General features: G+C 40.6%; 1 long non-coding RNA gene across 3 annotated transcripts in view; it reads right to left on the bottom strand.

Moving 5' to 3' along the window:
- The window catches only part of LOC107984704 (uncharacterized), a 336,950-nt gene that overhangs the window by 220,706 nt on the left and 99,230 nt on the right, over positions 1-17,014 (bottom strand). For 2 of the 3 annotated variants that reach the window (XR_001750835.1, XR_001750836.3), the window contains exon 4: positions 13,593-14,403. The exons of the other annotated variant lie outside the window; for it this stretch is intronic. This is a non-coding gene — a long non-coding RNA (uncharacterized LOC107984704). Of the gene's footprint in view, positions 1-13,592; positions 14,404-17,014 lie in introns of those variants that run through there. 3 annotated transcript variants of the gene reach the window in all.

The raw sequence follows: 17,014 nt of genomic DNA, 5'->3' as shown, positions 1-17,014 counted from the left end.
CATAATGCCTTTTATTTAGTTCATGTGACTTGAGTAATCCTTGGAAAATAAAGACAGTTTTAAAGATTATTGGTGAAATACAATTGTCTTCAAAATGTAAACATGTGGTCTAAATTATGCTCAAATATTAGGTTTGCTAAATGCTTTAAGGTCATAAGCTACTTCTTTGGCTTTTGAAAATTGTTTCACTTACCTGCTTTTCCAGGTATGCCCTGGGGACGTGTGGAGTTGGCCACACCCTAGCTATGCTGGAAACAGTCAAACCTTATCAGAACATAACTTACCAGGTTTTACATTAAAGTTAAAATTGCTAAGAGTCGCCACTGTGACATGCAATTAAGACTACTGGAAATAGATTTACATGCAAAGTGTGTAAGAACAGTAAAATGTGTTTTTTAAAAGGTTATAAGAAGGTATGGAAATGTAAATTTTGCCTAGGGTTAAAGGATTGTTTTAAGTTAGATGGGAAAAGCTAAAGGCTTGAAGAAGTGGTGGAAAAATAGTGGAAATTAATCTTGTAGAAGAGGTTCACCATGAGAACATGTTGACTACATTCAAAAGGGTTATAAAAGGTTTTTGCTTCTTTAAAATTTCTAACTCACCATTTTGGCAAAATAAATAACTATGGTAATCTGGAATTCCAAAATCAAACTTCAGTTTCAAAATTGCCCTCCCTGGCACCTGACTTTTCAAATACTTCAGAGGGCCCGTGAAGTGTCCAGAAGAGAGGTAAACAGGATTATTTGACTGGTTTAGATAGATGGGATTGCCAAAATGATGTTCAATCTTCTTTAGGTTATATTTTTGTGAGTAATACTAATATATGTTCCAAGATTATATGGGATTTCTAACATTCTAATGTCTAAGTATATGTTATTAGTTATAATTATGGTTATTATGTTAAGTTATTGTACATCATAAAAGTAAACAAATGTTCTTGTCAGTGCTATGCACCTAATTTGGAAAAACAACTGGTATCCAAGAGGATATAAGTCTAATGTTAATCAAGCATGGACTCATGGAGAACCAGGATGGCCGCCTTGTTCTTCCTGAGTCCTTAAAGATTTTATTATTAAGAGTTCTGCATTCCACGACTCATCATGGAAAAGATAAAATGATCCAAGTTGAATACATTGGTGTAGTGACTTACAAATTGTTTAAAATGGTTTATAACCAATTCTTGATACCATATTCCTGGGAAAACAATTAAAGCTTCAGGTACATTTGGTCACCTGATGGGCCATTTAAACATTTTATAAAGAGATTTCATTCTATTGTTATTTTCAATGCACGTTTTCTGGTTGTATAAAAGCTATCCCATGCAAGAGGACTGATGTTATAACAGTAGATTAATAATAATGCTACAGTGTATTTTCACCAGGTAAAGAAAGCTTTTCATGGTTTGAATCTTCTGGAAACATCAGAAGAAGACTGTCCTTGCCATGCACACTACAACAAAACTTCAAGACCTTGAACTTTGGGTTCATAATCTCACAATGAGAAAGGTCCCTCCACACTTTCAGAACTGCGCACCCACTGGAACCCTTGAGGTAAAACTAAGCAGGAAAATTTCTCCCAAGAAAAGGATGGCATCCTTGATGTGAACAGCTTTTGCCAAGTCCACAGATTGACGTCTACTGTCATTAAACTCTTATCTTTGAATATTTTTTTCTTGCTTATGCCTCTACGAACAATAGATGTGGAAACAGGGCCTGTTATGTGCACTAATGGGGTGTACTTTTATTTGTGAAGGAGTTTGCAGCCAGCCTTATACATGGATAACCTTATACTTTGATCAATAAAAGATGAAGGCCCAATGTAGGTAAGAAACTTTAATGGTATATATGTGGCCTCATAATCAGTCAAAAACAAAACATTGGTTCACCCCTCTTAACCCACATCGTGGGTTAAAGAAAACATTGCTAGAAGGCCTTCACTATTCTAAAGGGGCATCATTTGTTAGGTCCTAGTTCCATGGTTTAAAATAAAAGAAGCAATGATTAGAAATGTATCCCTCATGATAGGTTCTATAGCAAATTCTACTGTAAAGGCTACAGTTATACAATAGACTCTAAATTCTCTTGTGAAAGTTATGATAAAATTGGCTAAACGGAGAAATATCTGTGTAGCTGCTGGCACTTGTGGCCTATGGAGAAATACACCAAATGAAGATTATAGAAATTCATTGGTAGGAGATTAACAAAGAGACTGCTTAGTAAAGTGAGCAAACTCTTTATCTAGCTCATTCTTTGATCTATTTGATTTTAGGAGGTTTGGTTTAGGAGGACCTTGGGTAAGGAGCATACTCTGAACTCTTGGTATTATCTTCCCAATAGTCATAATAATAATCTCCCTGGTGTGCTGTCTCAAAGGTTTTAAATGCTTGCCTGCAGCCATCTCTAGAATGTCAAATGGTCTCTCTTCAGCTGGAATAATGGAGCCGAAAGAAATGTTCAACCATGAGGACACCAGAACCTACAAATGACGTGCTGAGACCAGAAACCCAAAATGATGGTAACTGAGAGTGGCACTAGGGCCCTAAGTTTTGGTCACACTCTCACCTGACCAAACCTGACCAAAAATGGAGAATTTTTTAAACAAAATTCCGGGAGGCCATAGTTTTTGACTAATCTCATGCACTAGGCCCCAACAAACCAAACCAAAATGGAGTTGCTTGTGCTAAGAAACACATAGATTCTAGAACAAACCACATTTTTTCTCCTGCAAATCTCTGTAACAAACATTTCTAACAGCATAGGTATCCACCACCTGAAGTCTCCATTAAATCTTTTAATCAAATTCATTTCCTCTCGCCTAGAAACCATCAAGTTTCAAGTGATCATGCAACAAAGGTTTCAGACACCTCCAGGTGAAGATACCACTCCTGGCCATCAGGAAGCTACCCTGCCTCCACTAGATACAGCAGGGTGAGAGTTCCATAATCCCCAATAGGTAGGGTCTACACTCCAAGCCAGCATGAAGTGGTTACAGAAAAAAGACCATTGGTCCCTCTGCCTCCCATAAAGATTTATGGGGATCACATCTCTCAGTGGGGAGATGAGGCAGAAAAATAGGGTCTGGAGGCAGGGAACATAGGCCAATTCACACTTCAGCTATAACAGGAAATATCCTCTCTATAGGGCATATGCCATTAGTAACTTTGTAACTTTACTTCATCCTCTCCAATTACATAGGGCATACCCCAAGTGACCAATGGAATCCTCTAGGGGGTATTTAAACTCCAAAAAAATTCTGCAACAGGGCCTTTGAGCCTGTGTGCTCAGGCCCACTCCCACACTGTGAAGTGTACTTTCATTTTCAGTAAAACTCTTCATTCCTTCCTGGCTTTGTTTGTGCATTTTGTTCAATTCTTTATTCAAGACACCAAGAACCTGGACACCCTCCACTGTTAACAATAAGAGATCTGGTTGTTTACGAGTATGGCACTTACCCCCTCCTCTCTCTCTCACTTCCTCTCTTACCATGTGATACACTGGATCCACTTTGCCCTCTCCCATGAGTGGAAGCAAAGGAGGCCCTATTTGGGAGCAGATATTTGCATAATGCTTCCTGTACAGACTGCTGAATCATGAGCCAAAATGAACCTCTTTAATAACTCAGCCTCAGGTACTTCTTTATGGTAATGCAGAAGCAGACAAATACGGTAGAAAATTGGACCTGAGGAGTGGGGCATTGCTTTAAAGAGATCTAAAAATGCAGAAGCGGCTTTGAGATTGGGTAATGGGCAGAGGTTGGAAGTGTTTAGAGGGCTCAGAAGAAGAGAGTAAAACAAGAAAAAGTTTAGAAGTTCTTAAAGGCTTGTTAAGTGGTTGTGACCAAAATGCTGATAGAAATATGAATAACGAAAGTCCAGGGCTGATGAGGTCTCAGATGAAAACAAAAAAATTATTGGGAACTGGAGCAAAGGTCATCCTTGTTACATCCTAGCAAAGAATTTGGCTGCATTGTGTCCATGTCCTAGGGATTTGCGGAAGGTTTAAATTAAGAGTGATGACCTAGGGTATCTGGTGGAAGAAATTTCTAAGCAGAAAAGTATTCAAGAAGTGACCTGGCTGCTTCTAATATCATATCTTCAGATGCAGGAGTAAAGGAATGACATAAAGTTGGAACTTATATTTAAAAGGGAAGCAGAGCATAAAAGTTTAAAGAATTTGCAGGCTGGCCATGTGGTAGAGAAGGAAAGAGCATTCTCAGGAGAGGAATCCAAGCAGGCTCCAGAGCAACCACTTGCTATGGAGATTAGATGACTAAAAGGGAGACAGGTGCTAATATCCAAAACAATGGGGAAAATGCCCTAAAGGCATTTCAGAAGTCTTCTGGACAGTCCTTGCCATCTGTGATTGTTAATATTAAGTGTCAACTTGATTGGATTGAAGGATGCCAAGTATTGTTCCTGGGTGTGACTGTGAGGGTGCTGCCAAAATAGATTAACATTTGAGTCAGTGGACTGGGAAAGGCAGACCCATCCTCAATCTAAATGGGTATCATCTAATCAGCTGCCAGCATGGCTAGAAAAAGCAGGCAGAAGGTAAAAAGAGCAGACTTGCTGAGTCTTCTGGTCTTCATTTTTCTCCCATGCTGGATGCTTCCTGCCCTCAAACATTGGACTCCAACTTCTTCAGCTTTTGGACTCTTGGACCTACATCAGTGGTTTGCCAGGGACTCTCAGGCCTTCAGCCACAGACTGAAGGCTACACTGTCGGCTTCCCTACTTTTGAGGTTTTGGGTCTCAGACTGGCTTCCTTGCTCCTCAGCTTGCAGTTGGCCTATTGTGGGACTTCACCGTGTCATCATGTGAGTCAATACTCCTTAAATGCCCTTTCATATATTCATCTATAATATTTGTTCTGTCCTTCTAGAGAACCCTGACTAATACAGATTTTGGTACCAGAAATGGTTCTGGAGGAACAGAATTTTAAGGATGGATTTTTTTAGTTGGTTTTGGGGTTTCTGGAATTGACTGCTTAATCTGATTAGACCCAAAAATGTTAAGGACTGTACTTCGAATAGTATGGAGAACACTGATAGTCTTTGGCATGAACTGTTTGGAGAGTTATGCAAAACAAGTGCATTTGATACTCCTGATTCACTGCTCTTGAGAGGCAAGAAATTTAGTGACTCTATATATATCTTTGACCATATGTGGAGAACCAAGGAATATTATGAAATTGGTGGGTTTCTTCTAAGTTTACAAAGTGATGAAAGAAAATGATGAGCTTAGGGATTCTAACTCCCTGCTCCAGAAGCACATACCGAGCTTCAAATCTTCTAAGATTGCCCTGAGTGAGAGAGTCCTATCTCCTGCAGACAAAGACCTGCAATTGTGGAAGATCAGACACAAGTTCTCATCATGAAAGTGACTGACCTGCAATGAAAGGTACATGCTCAGTCTTGCCAGGTGTCTACCGTTTGTTAAGGTGAGGGCGTTGATTGGAAAAGAATGGGACCCTATAACTTGGAATGGAGACGTGTGGGAGGACCCAGATGAGGCTGAGAGCACTGAGCTCCTACATTCTGATGAGACTTTTTTCCCAGAGGAGACAGCCTCCCCAACCCCAGTGGTGGCAACATCCCCTCCCCAACCCACTCTGCCATCAGCCTTTTCACCTTTGTCTGAGGAGATTAACCATGCACTGCCTGAGGCAACAGTGATGGCTGATGCAGTTGCCAGGCAAAACAATGCTGATTTTCCTCAGGACCCATTCCCAACACGGCTGTTTACTTCTAGACCTATAACTAGACTCAAGACCCAGCAGACTCCTAGAGGTGAAGTTCAAAGTGTGACCCACAATGAGGTGCACTACACTCCAAAAAAACTGCTCAAGCTTTCTAATTTATATAAGCAGAAATCTGGGGAACAGGCATGGAAATGGATATTAAGGGTGTGGGATAATGGTGGAAGGAACACAGAATTGGATCAGGCTGAATTTATTGCTATGGGCTCACTAAGCACAGATTCTACATTTAATGTTGCAGCTCAGGGAGTTAAAAAGGTTATAATAGTATATTTGCTTGGTTAGCTGAAACATGGATCAAAAGATGGCCCATTGTGAGTGGGCTGGAAATACCTATCTCCATTGACTTAATACAAAGAAAGAAATCCAAAGGCTCAGGGAGATTGGAATGCGAGTGGATTAGTCATTTTAGACCTACTCATCCCAACTGGGAGGGTCCAGAAGACATACCCTTCACCAATACCTTGCAAAATAGATTTGTGAGGGCAGCACATGCATCCTTGAAGAGCTCTGTGATTTCCCTTCTCTGTATGCCAGATCTTACAGTGGGAACTGCAGTCACTCAACTGAGAACTTAAACACAATGGGAATAATTAAATCCTGAGGTGACAGGGGCCAAGTGGCGGCACTCAACCGTCAACAGCAAGATGAGATAGTTACTATAATGGAAAGTAGAGGCAAAGCAGCAATCAGACTAGTCTGACTTGTGTAGAGCTTTGGCATTGGCTATTTAATCATGGTGTTCCTAGAAGTGAAGCTGATGGGAAGCCTTCCACATTCTTATTTAATTTGTATAAGCAGAAAACTTCCAGGTTGAGTGGACAAAAGACTAATTTGAATTATAAAAACAGAGAATTTCAGCCCCTCAATCAATCTCCAGACTTGAATCAGTTTAAAGACCCAGAACCCCTTAAATGAAGGTGAGCTTGGGTCCCCTTGAGGAATGACACACTACACTACCAACAATTTATACTGTTAATCTTTCTCCCATCTTCCCTCAAGGAGATCTCCAGCCTTTTACCAGGGTAACTGTGCACTGGGGAAAGGGGAATGATCAGATCTTTTAGGGAGTACTGAACACTGACTCTGAGCTGGTGTTGATTCCAGGGAACACAAAACATCATTGTGGTTTTCCAGTTAAAGTAGGGGTTTGTGGAGGTCAGGTAATTAATGGAGTTTTAGTTTAGGTCTGACTTACACTGAGTCCAGTGTGTCCCTGGGCTCATCCTGTGGTAATTTCCCCAGTGCCAGAATGCATAATCGGCACAGATGTATGTAGCAGCTAGAAGAATTCCCACATTGGCTCCCTGACTGGTAGGGTGAGGGCTATTATTGTTGAAAAGGCTAAATGGAAGCCATTAGAGCTGCCTCTACCTAGAAAAATGCTAGATCAAAAACAATATCACATCCCTGGAGGGACTGCAGAGATTAGTGCCACCATCAAGGACTTGAAGGACACAGGGGTAATGATTCCCACCACATCCCCATTCAACTCTCCTATTTGGCCTGTGCAGAAGACAGGTGGATCTTGGAGAATGACAGTGGATTATCATAAGTTTAACCAAGTGGTGACTCCAATTGCAGCTGCTGTACCAGATGTGGTTTTATTCCTTCAACAAATTAACACATCTCCTGGTACCTGCTATGCAGCCATTGATTTGGCAAAAGCTTTTTTCTCCATTCCTGTCCATAAGGCCCACCAGAAGCAATTTGCCTTCAGCTGGCAAGGCCAGCAATATACCTTCACTGTCCTACCTCTGGGGTACATCAACTCTCCGACTTTGTGTCATACTCTTGCTTGCAGAAACCTTGATCACTTTTCCCTTCCATAAGATATCAAGTGGTCCATTACATTGGTGACATTATGCTGACTGGATCCAGTGAGCAAGAAGTAGCAAACACACTGGACTTATTGGTGAGACATTTGCATGCCAGGGGATAGGAAATAAATCTGACTAAAATTCAGGGACCTTCTACCTCAATGAAATTTCTAGTAGTATAGTGGTTTGGGGCATGTCAAGATATTCCTTTTAAGGTGAAGGATAAGTTGCTGCATTTGGCCCCTCCTACAACCAAGAAAGAGGCACAATGCCTAGTGGACCTATTTGGATTTTGGAGGCAACACATTCCTCATTTGGGTGTGTTACTTTAGCCCATTTATCAAGTGACCCAAAAGGCTGCCAGGTTTGAGTGGGATCCAGAACAGGAGAAGGTTCTGCAACAGGTCCAGGCTGCTGTGAAAGCTGCCCTGCTACTTGGGCCATATGACCCAGTAGATCTAATGGTTCTTGAGGTGTCAGTGGCAGATAGAGATGCTGTTTGGAACCCTTGGCAGGCCCCATAGGTGAATCACAATGGAGTACTCTAGGATTTTAGAGCAAGAACCTGCTATCTTCTGCAGATAACTACTCTTCTTCTGAGAGACAGCTGTTGGCCTGTTACTGGACTGTGGTAGAAACTAAATGTTTGACTATGGGTCATCAAGTCACCACACGACCTGAACTGCCTATCATGAACTGGATGCTTTCTGACTCATTTAGCCATAAAGTAGGATGTGCAGAGTAGCATTCCATCAGCAAATGGAAGTGGAATATAAGTGATCACGCTCAAGCAGATCCTGAAAGCACAAGCAAGTTACATAAGGAAGCAGCTCAAATGCCCATAGTCTCCACTCCTGCCACCCTGCCTTCTCTCTCCCACCTGCACTGATGGCCTCATGAGGAGTTCCCTATGATGAGTTGACAGAGGAAGAGAAGACTAGGATCTAGTTTACAGATGGTTCTGCACGATATGTAGGCACCACCCAAAAGTGGACAGCTATAGCACTACAGCCACTTTCTAGGACATCCCTGAAAGACAGTGGTGAAGGGAAATCTTCTCAGTGGGCAGAACTTTGAGCAGTGCACCCAGTTGTACACTTTACTTGGAAGGAGAAATGGCCAGATGTGCGATTATATACTGATTCATGGACTGTAGTCAGTGGTTTGCCTGCATGTTCAGGGACTTGGAAGAAGCATAATCGGAAAATTGGTGACAAGGAAATTTGGGAAAGAGGTATGTGGATAAATCTGTCTGAGTGGTCAAAAACTTTGAAGATGTTTGTATCCCATGTGAGTGCTCACCAAAGGGTGACCTCAGTAGAGGAAGATTTTAATAATTAAGTGGATAGGATGACTTTTTCTGTGGACACCACTCAACCTCTCTCCCCAGCCACCCCTGTCATTGCCCAATAGGTCCATAAAAAAGTGGCCATGGTGGCAGGGATGGAGGTGTGCATGGGCTCAGCAACAAAGACTTCCGCTCACCAAGGCAGACCTGAATACAGCCACTGCTGGGTGCCCAATTAGCCAGCAGCAGAGACCAACATTGAGCCCTCAATATGGCACCATTCCTCATGGTGAGCAGCAAGCTACTTGGTGGCAGTCAGCCACTTGGTGATTATATTGAACCTCTTCCATCATGGAAAGGGCAGTGATTTGGTTTGTCTTCACAGGTGTAGACACTTACTTTGGATATGGGTTTGCCTATCCTGCACGCAGTGCTTCTGCCAAGATTACCATCTGTGGACTCACAGAATGCCTTATCTGTGAGTTCACCCCCTACACCAACGTACACACAATGCAGGATGTGAAGTCAAGAGAGATTATTTTGGACCTTTAAGGTTTAATGTCTGCCCTACAAGGTTTTGGACTTGCGGGGGGCCTATAGCCCCTTTCCTTTGGCTGATTTCTCCCTTTTGGTATGGGAAGGTTTACCTAATGCCTGTACCACCTTTGTATCTTGGAAGTAAATAACTTGTTTTCATTTTACAGGCTCATAGGTAGAAGGAACTTTGCCTTGAGTCTCAGATGAGATTTTGGACTTGCGACGTGGGACTTTTGAGTGATGCTGGAACCAGTTAAGAATTTGGAGGACTATTAAAAAAGCATGATTGTATTTTGCAAAGTAAGAAGGACATGAGATTTGGGGAGTCAGGGGTGGAATATGTGAGGATGTTTGTCCCTTCCAAATCTGAAGCTAAAATGTGAGCTTCAATGTTGGAGGGGGTCCTAGTGGGAGGTGTTTGGGTCACAGGGGTGGATTCCTCATGAATGGCTTGGTCATGAGTGAATTCTCACTCTGAGTTCACACAAGGTCTGCTTGTTTAAAAGAATGTGGGCCAGGCACAGTGGCTCATGCCTATAATCGCAGCACTTTGAGAGGCCAAGGTGGGTGGATCGCCTGAGGTCAGGAAACAGGGTTTCACCATGTTGGTCATGGTGACCCACCATGACCAACATGGTGAAACCCCATCTCTACTAAAAATACAAAATTAGCCAGGCATGGTGGCACATGCCTGTAATCCCAGCTACTCGGGAGGCTGAAGCAGGAGAATCGCTTGAACCTGGGAGGCGGAGGTTGCAGTGAGCCGAGATCGTGCCACTGCACTCCAGCCTGAGCAACAAGAGCGAGACTCCATCTCAAAAAAAAAAAAAAAGAGTATGGTTTAAAGTCAGTTGCCTCTCACATAAAGTTCAGACCTATATCAGCTAGACATTATTAGGACATGGTTTCCACTTCCCCAGCCTAAAATACCCTCAACTCAGTTGCCTTCTCCAGGCCTATTAAATTTTGCAAGGCCCAGCTCAATTACCACCTTAAGAAAGTCTTCCAGGTGACTCTATCCCCTTGTGATTTTTCCCTCCTTGGAATCCTTAATATACTCCCAGTTGGCCACATCTATTCTGGGGTCCCTCAGTGATACACATTCTGACGCTGTTCCTGTGATCATTCCTGAGATTAAGGCTTCTGTCTCCACACACACACACACACACACACGCACGCACACACACACACACACACACAAACATGAATTCCTTGAAAGCAGGCAGAACCTTTTTTTTTTGTACTGCCCCAGAAGGACTTACACTATTCTTTGAATAACTAATAGCATTTACTGGGTGTTCATTATGAGCCAGGCACTGTACTAAGCACATTAAATGTGCTAAGTATTATATATGCTTTACCTCATTGGATTTTCCCCAGAAGGTACCATTTTAATCCCTATTTTAAATAGGGAGAAGCCAAAGTTTAAAACAACAAGTAGCTTGTTCAAGGTTGCTCAGCTTGCAGGGCACAAAACTGAGACTAAAATCACGTAAGTCTGACTCCATAGTTATTTTTCATCCACTGGGGAAGTGGTGTCTCTCTCTTCCTGGTACAGGCACTTTACATTGACCTTAATAGACTACGAACCCAGGGTAAACAGAAAAATTTATGAAACTCTTTTAGTTTAAATTGGATTCAAATTTTCAAACTATGCCTAAGGATTTGGAATTTAATACATTGTGTCCCCCTTTTGAACTGTTTCACTGATCCTTCAGTGGGTTTCTGATATAACAAGATGGCAGAGTGGATGGAGGTTTCTGAACTCATATATTTGGCATCATTAGGTTTTATAGTCTCTACAAGTTCTACACTATGAAATTTTGAATCTGAGATTAATGTGTGCTATGGTCTTCTCTCATTAAAGCTAAAGCTAGCAACAGCTATGCCAGACTATGCAGTGTATACCTAATGAGAAAAACTTTCGTTAGCATTGACCCATCACTAAAGGCTCTTTCATCACACTGTGCATTACAGACAAGCATTAGGTCTGTCTCACCTGAAATCAAATTTCCTGAGTGTGGCTGCCAATATCACAGACATGCATCCAAATCAGAAAATGTTAGGCATGTTACTATATTGCCTTATATTACATTAAATTACATATTACCTTATATTACCTTATGTTATGTATCACCCTTGTTAAAAATATATTAAGATTAAAAATACAGAAGAATGAAAAAGGATAAGGAATATTTAAATATATATATGTGCGTATACATACATATCTATATATACATCTCCAGCAGAATGAGTAAAAACAAGTTGCTACAGAAACCAACTGTAATGCTACAGAAACCAACTGAAAATGAGCGTCAGAAGTGGGTAATATAAAACTTCAAACCATCATCATTCATGACATCTACACCATTATTGTGGTGCTTGGAGACTTAACTGAAATCAGCCGCATGTAGCAAATATTTCGGGTTAGTTCTCAAATACACCATTCTCCTTCTCACATTTCTCATTTCTCCAGAATAATTATACAAACTATACTGCAAAGCCCAGAAGGGAAATTCAACTTTTATGAAGGAAACATGAAAAACCTTACACAAGAAAAATATGCTTAAATGTCTTTCTCCTTTGCTTCCCTGGTTTCTCGTTTATTTTAATTAAAACTCTCCATTTAGGGGACAAGCGATTTCATATACTAAGAAACATAAACAAAAATTTACCCTTTACAAAATATTTTCTGGTCTTCAGTGAATTATTCCTTGCAGGTAAAAAAAAAAAGCCATTGACAAAATTGATTAAATTAAAATGAAACAAACTGAATGATTTTAAGATGAACATTTTTTACACTTGAAATTATTCCCTCATTGTAGTATATTGTATATGTCCTTTCACTTTCATTTACACTTACACTACACACATACACACACACACACACACACACACACATATAATTGTTTATTGCCAATATCTCTCTGAATAGCAGAAGGTCAAAGAGACTACCTTCCTATCTTGTTAGCTGGTAACCTTTCAATTTTAGGAAGAATCACTTGTGTGAAGGCCTTTGTCTTTCTTTAATCCAATCCTCAACCCATTGTTTTATGTATCTTCCCAGGCATGAGGTGCATGCTGGCATATTTCATTCCCATTTGGTCATTTTGGGGTTTGGGGTAAGTCAAAAAAGACATAATATTCTAAATGAAACAGAGGTTTGTAGCATGGTTTTAAAAGATTCATGCATATCAAGATTGCCAGTGCTATTAAAAGATAAAACATTCAGGGTACATCATTTTTCTCATCAGATCATCACTGCATGTATTATATGAAAATATCTATCTATATCTATGCATTTATAAAGTATTTTTCCACACAATTACTGAAAGAAATTATATGATATACCAGCCCAAAAACTTTGGGGATATTCCTGGAAAATTATTTTACACACATGTAGCACTTGATCTTTTGCAAGCATTTTCCAAAGCACAATCTCATTTGGTTTTTATAACAGCCCTATGAGAGTGGGAGAGCCAGCATCATTCTCATTTTAGAGATAAGAAAATTCAGTATTATAAGCCCTTACCTAGAGTCAAAGCTGAGCAAAAAATTCTGGACTCCTAAGACAGTTATCTTTTCAGTTATCTTTTCTACTGGGCCATAAAACTACGCTTTATTCTTCTTTCATTTTTAAAAAAATACTCACAAATGTACTCATTATAAACAAACTGTGGTTTTGAATTCTATAAATAAAGGTGGAAATATAAAGTCTTCCTTCACTCTAAAAGGCTACAACCTGGTAATATCTATAATAATTTGTATGAAACATTTACACTCTATTTACTTATGTGTGTATCTTAGAGTTGGTAGTCACTAGACTACTGCCTACAGATCAAACCTGGCCTGCCATTTTCGTTGGTTTTTGTTTTTGTTTTGTTTTGTTTTTCTTTTCTTTTTAACAGTCTGAAAGGTTACAATTGTTTTTACATTTTTAAATAGCTGAAAAACCACAAAAGAGAAAGACTATTTCATCACAAGTGAAAATTACATGAAATTCAAATTTCAGAGTCCATAAAGTTTATTGGAACACAGCAATACTCATTCATTTACATACTGCTTTTGCTTTGCTGCCCATTTGAGTAGTTAAAATAAAGATTACATATCCCAAAAGCCTAAAATATTTATTATCTAACCTGTTACAGGAAAGATTTACCAAACCCATTACAAAGCGTCCCTTTTTTTTTATTCATACCAAATTATCTTTTTTTAATCAGGAAACAGGTGAATGCCCATATTTGGAACACCCTTTATGCAACACTCAGAGTATTTCAGTCCTTAGAAAGGCAGGTGAAAGTTGAGAGGCCTTTTCTGGGAATATGATTATCTGGCTAAGAATCATAGAACATTCTATATGACACAGGAATCACATAGTGCGTCATTTAGAAGGTTCCACTACCTAACCAACACTGTTATGTAGAGAAGGAACTACATACAGAATGGAGGTAATATAGCAAATTTTAACAGCCTGTACCTGGAAATATCTACCCTATTATTCAGAGTAGCAGCATGGAAACACTTACCCAAAACACAACAGAGAAGTTCCTGTAATTCCTTGCTTCTATGAGAAAATATCTTCAGGGACAGACATCCCCACCTCTCTTTCTCCAAATCTACTAAAATTACAGAACACCCAAGTAACTCTTCAGACCACTAGGCCCAATTACCTCTGGATTTGGGCCCAGTGCAAGTCACAACACGTAACAAAATTGAAATTTCAGACCATATCCTCAAACTTCTGGCCCAGTCTGTTAAAGGGACCAACACACCTGTTAAACATATGATGGCAAGCTGCCATGTTTTGCAGTAGTCAGAAGTTCAGTGTCATGTAAAAGACTTTTGTCCCTGGTGCTGAGATAATGAGCTTGTTCTTTCTTGATGATTTATGGGATGCAGATGAGAAACTGGCTGATTGAGGTTTTGGAAGATGAAAGTTTTCCGCTCTTGGCAGTAGCACCAGTACCCTGGAGAATGAGGTTTAACTGCTCCAGTTCCATGACTGCCATCAGAAAAAGTCGAATAACAAATTATGCCAGGTGAATATAAATAATACTCATTTTGTTCAATTTGCTACCTGCAACAGGGCTAGAAAGCACTCTGAACTTCTTTGCAAATCCAAACCATAGTATTCTGATACATAGTTACTGATATGCACCAGGGTCTTGTTTGTGTAGGGCAACGAACTGGTCCCTAAATTACTACCCGTCCTTCAGTCTTTGTCTTAATGCTTGTATTTAGGCCTCTACATTTGCTCCCTGTTAGCCATAGGCCTAACTTTTTCTCCTACCCGCTTAATGTACCTCAATAAACAATTAAACTTGCTTTCAAGATGCAGATATTATATATCTGAGGTTAATAAGTACTATGTTATATTATGGACTTTGCTTCAAATAAATATTAAGTAAATCCTTCTGTCCAATATAACAACCACCAGCCACATGAAACTATTTAAATTAATTAACATTAAAGTTTTAGATTTACTTCTTCAGCCACTCTAGCATATCCCAACAACTCAATATTCATATGTGGTCTGTGGATAACATATTGAACAGTGCAGATATAGAATATTTTCATCACTGCAGAAAGCTCTATGAGACAGTTCTGCTCTACACCTTAACCCACAAAAGTAAAATTATCTTTTAAGCCCACTCTTTTTATCTACCTATTCTCACAATTCAATGCAAAGCTTTCGCCTTTTTTCTACTTTTGAAAAAAAAAACTAAGGACTAGAAGGAAACTAATATTTTTTGAGTGTCTGTCATGTGCAAGGCATGGGCCCTTAGTTCACACAAATAATTTCATTTAATTCTCCCAAAGTAGTCTAAGAGTTTCTTTATTCCCAGGTCCACTCTCTGTGAGGCCCCTGGCCTAGAACATGTCCACAGTCATCTCTTTACTAATTATTTCTCTTATTAAACAAATACCTACTGACACCTATAGTGTTTCTGGAATGGTTCTAGAAGTTGCTTTTCCCTGGCACTGGTCCTAGGAATCCTATTTTCTCAAGTTTTGCTCTCTTTTCCTTTCTCGGAAATTTCCACAACTCCTCCTCTTGGAATGAGTGTAGCCCACTTTCTCTCTGAATATCTTCCCACAGTTTTCCTTTAACAGCTCATATGATTCCCAAACCTGCCTGCTGTCCATCTTAATCCTCAGCCCATGGCTTGTGAAAACAGTCACTCCTGCTGCCAAAATTGCAAGGGAGATCTAAATATCCCCCACTAGTTTTCATAATACCATTTGAAATTCAAAATTTACATATGAATATTAAAAGACAATGACTGTACATTCACTGGTCTAAGAAAGTCTGGTTGTCTTATTTAAACATTGAATATATATTGAATATTGAATATATATTTGTATTAGTCCATTCTCACACTGCTAGAAAGACATACATAAGACTGGGTAATTTATGAATAAAAGAGGTTTAATTGACTCCAGTTCCACAAGCTGTACAGGAAGCACGGCTGGGGAAGCCTTAGGAAACTTATGATCATGGTGGAAGGCAAAGGGGAAGTAAGCACCATCCTCACATGGTGGAGCAGGATAAAGAGAGTTAAGGGGGAAGTGCTATACACTTTCAAGCAACCGACCTCACGAGAACTCTATCACAAGACAGCACTAGGGGGATGGTGCTAAACCATTAGAAACTGCCCTCATGATCCAATCACCTCCCACAGGCCCCTCTTCCTACACTCAGGATCACAATTCAACATGAGATTTGCGCAGGGACATAGAACAAAATCATATCATTCCACCCCTGGCACCTCCCAAACCTCATGTGCTTCTCACATTTCAAAACACAACTATGCCTTGCCAACATCCCCCAACGTCTTAACTCATTCCAGCATTAACTGAAAAGTCCAACTCCAAAGTCTCATGTAAGGCAAAGCAAGTCTCTTCTGCCTATGAGCCTATAAAATCAAAAGCAAGTTAGTTACTTTCAAGACACAACGGAGTTATAGGCATTGGGTAAATGCTCTCGTTCCAAAAGGGAAAAAGTGGCCAAAATAAAGGAGGTACAGGCCCCACGCAAGTCTGAAACCCAGCAGGGTGGTCATTAAATCTTAAACCTCAAAAATAATCTCCTTTGACTCCATGTCTCACATCCAGGGCACACTGATGCCTGGTGGGTGTGGGTAGCTCCACCCCCTGGCTTCACAGGGTACAGCCCCTGTGGCTGCTTTCACAGGCTGGCATTGAGTGCCTGCAGCTTTTCCAGGCACACAGTACAAGCTGTTGGTGGATCAACCATTCTGGGGTCTGGAGGACAGTGGCCCTCTTCTCACAGCTCCACTAGGCAGTACCCCAGTGGGGACTCTATGTGGGGGCTCCAACCCCACATTTCCCTTCCACGCTGCCCTAATAGAGGTTCTCCATGAGGATTCCACCCTTGCAGCAGACTTCTGCCTGGGAATCCAGGCATTTCTATAAATCCTCTGAAATCTAGGTGGAAGCTCCCAAGCCTCAATTCTCACTCTCTATGCACCTGCAGGCCCAACACCATGTGGAAGCCACTGAGGCTTGAGGCTTGCACTCTCTGAAGCAATGGCTCAAGCTGTACCTTGGCCCTTATTAACCACAGCTGGGGCTGGAGCTGGAGCAGCCGC

Source organism: Homo sapiens, chromosome 14 (assembly GCF_000001405.40).
Source record: "Homo sapiens chromosome 14, GRCh38.p14 Primary Assembly".
Taxonomy (NCBI): Eukaryota; Metazoa; Chordata; class Mammalia; order Primates; family Hominidae; genus Homo; species Homo sapiens.
Note: the sequence above shows the minus strand (reverse complement) of the source record. Positions and strands in the feature narration are given on the sequence as shown.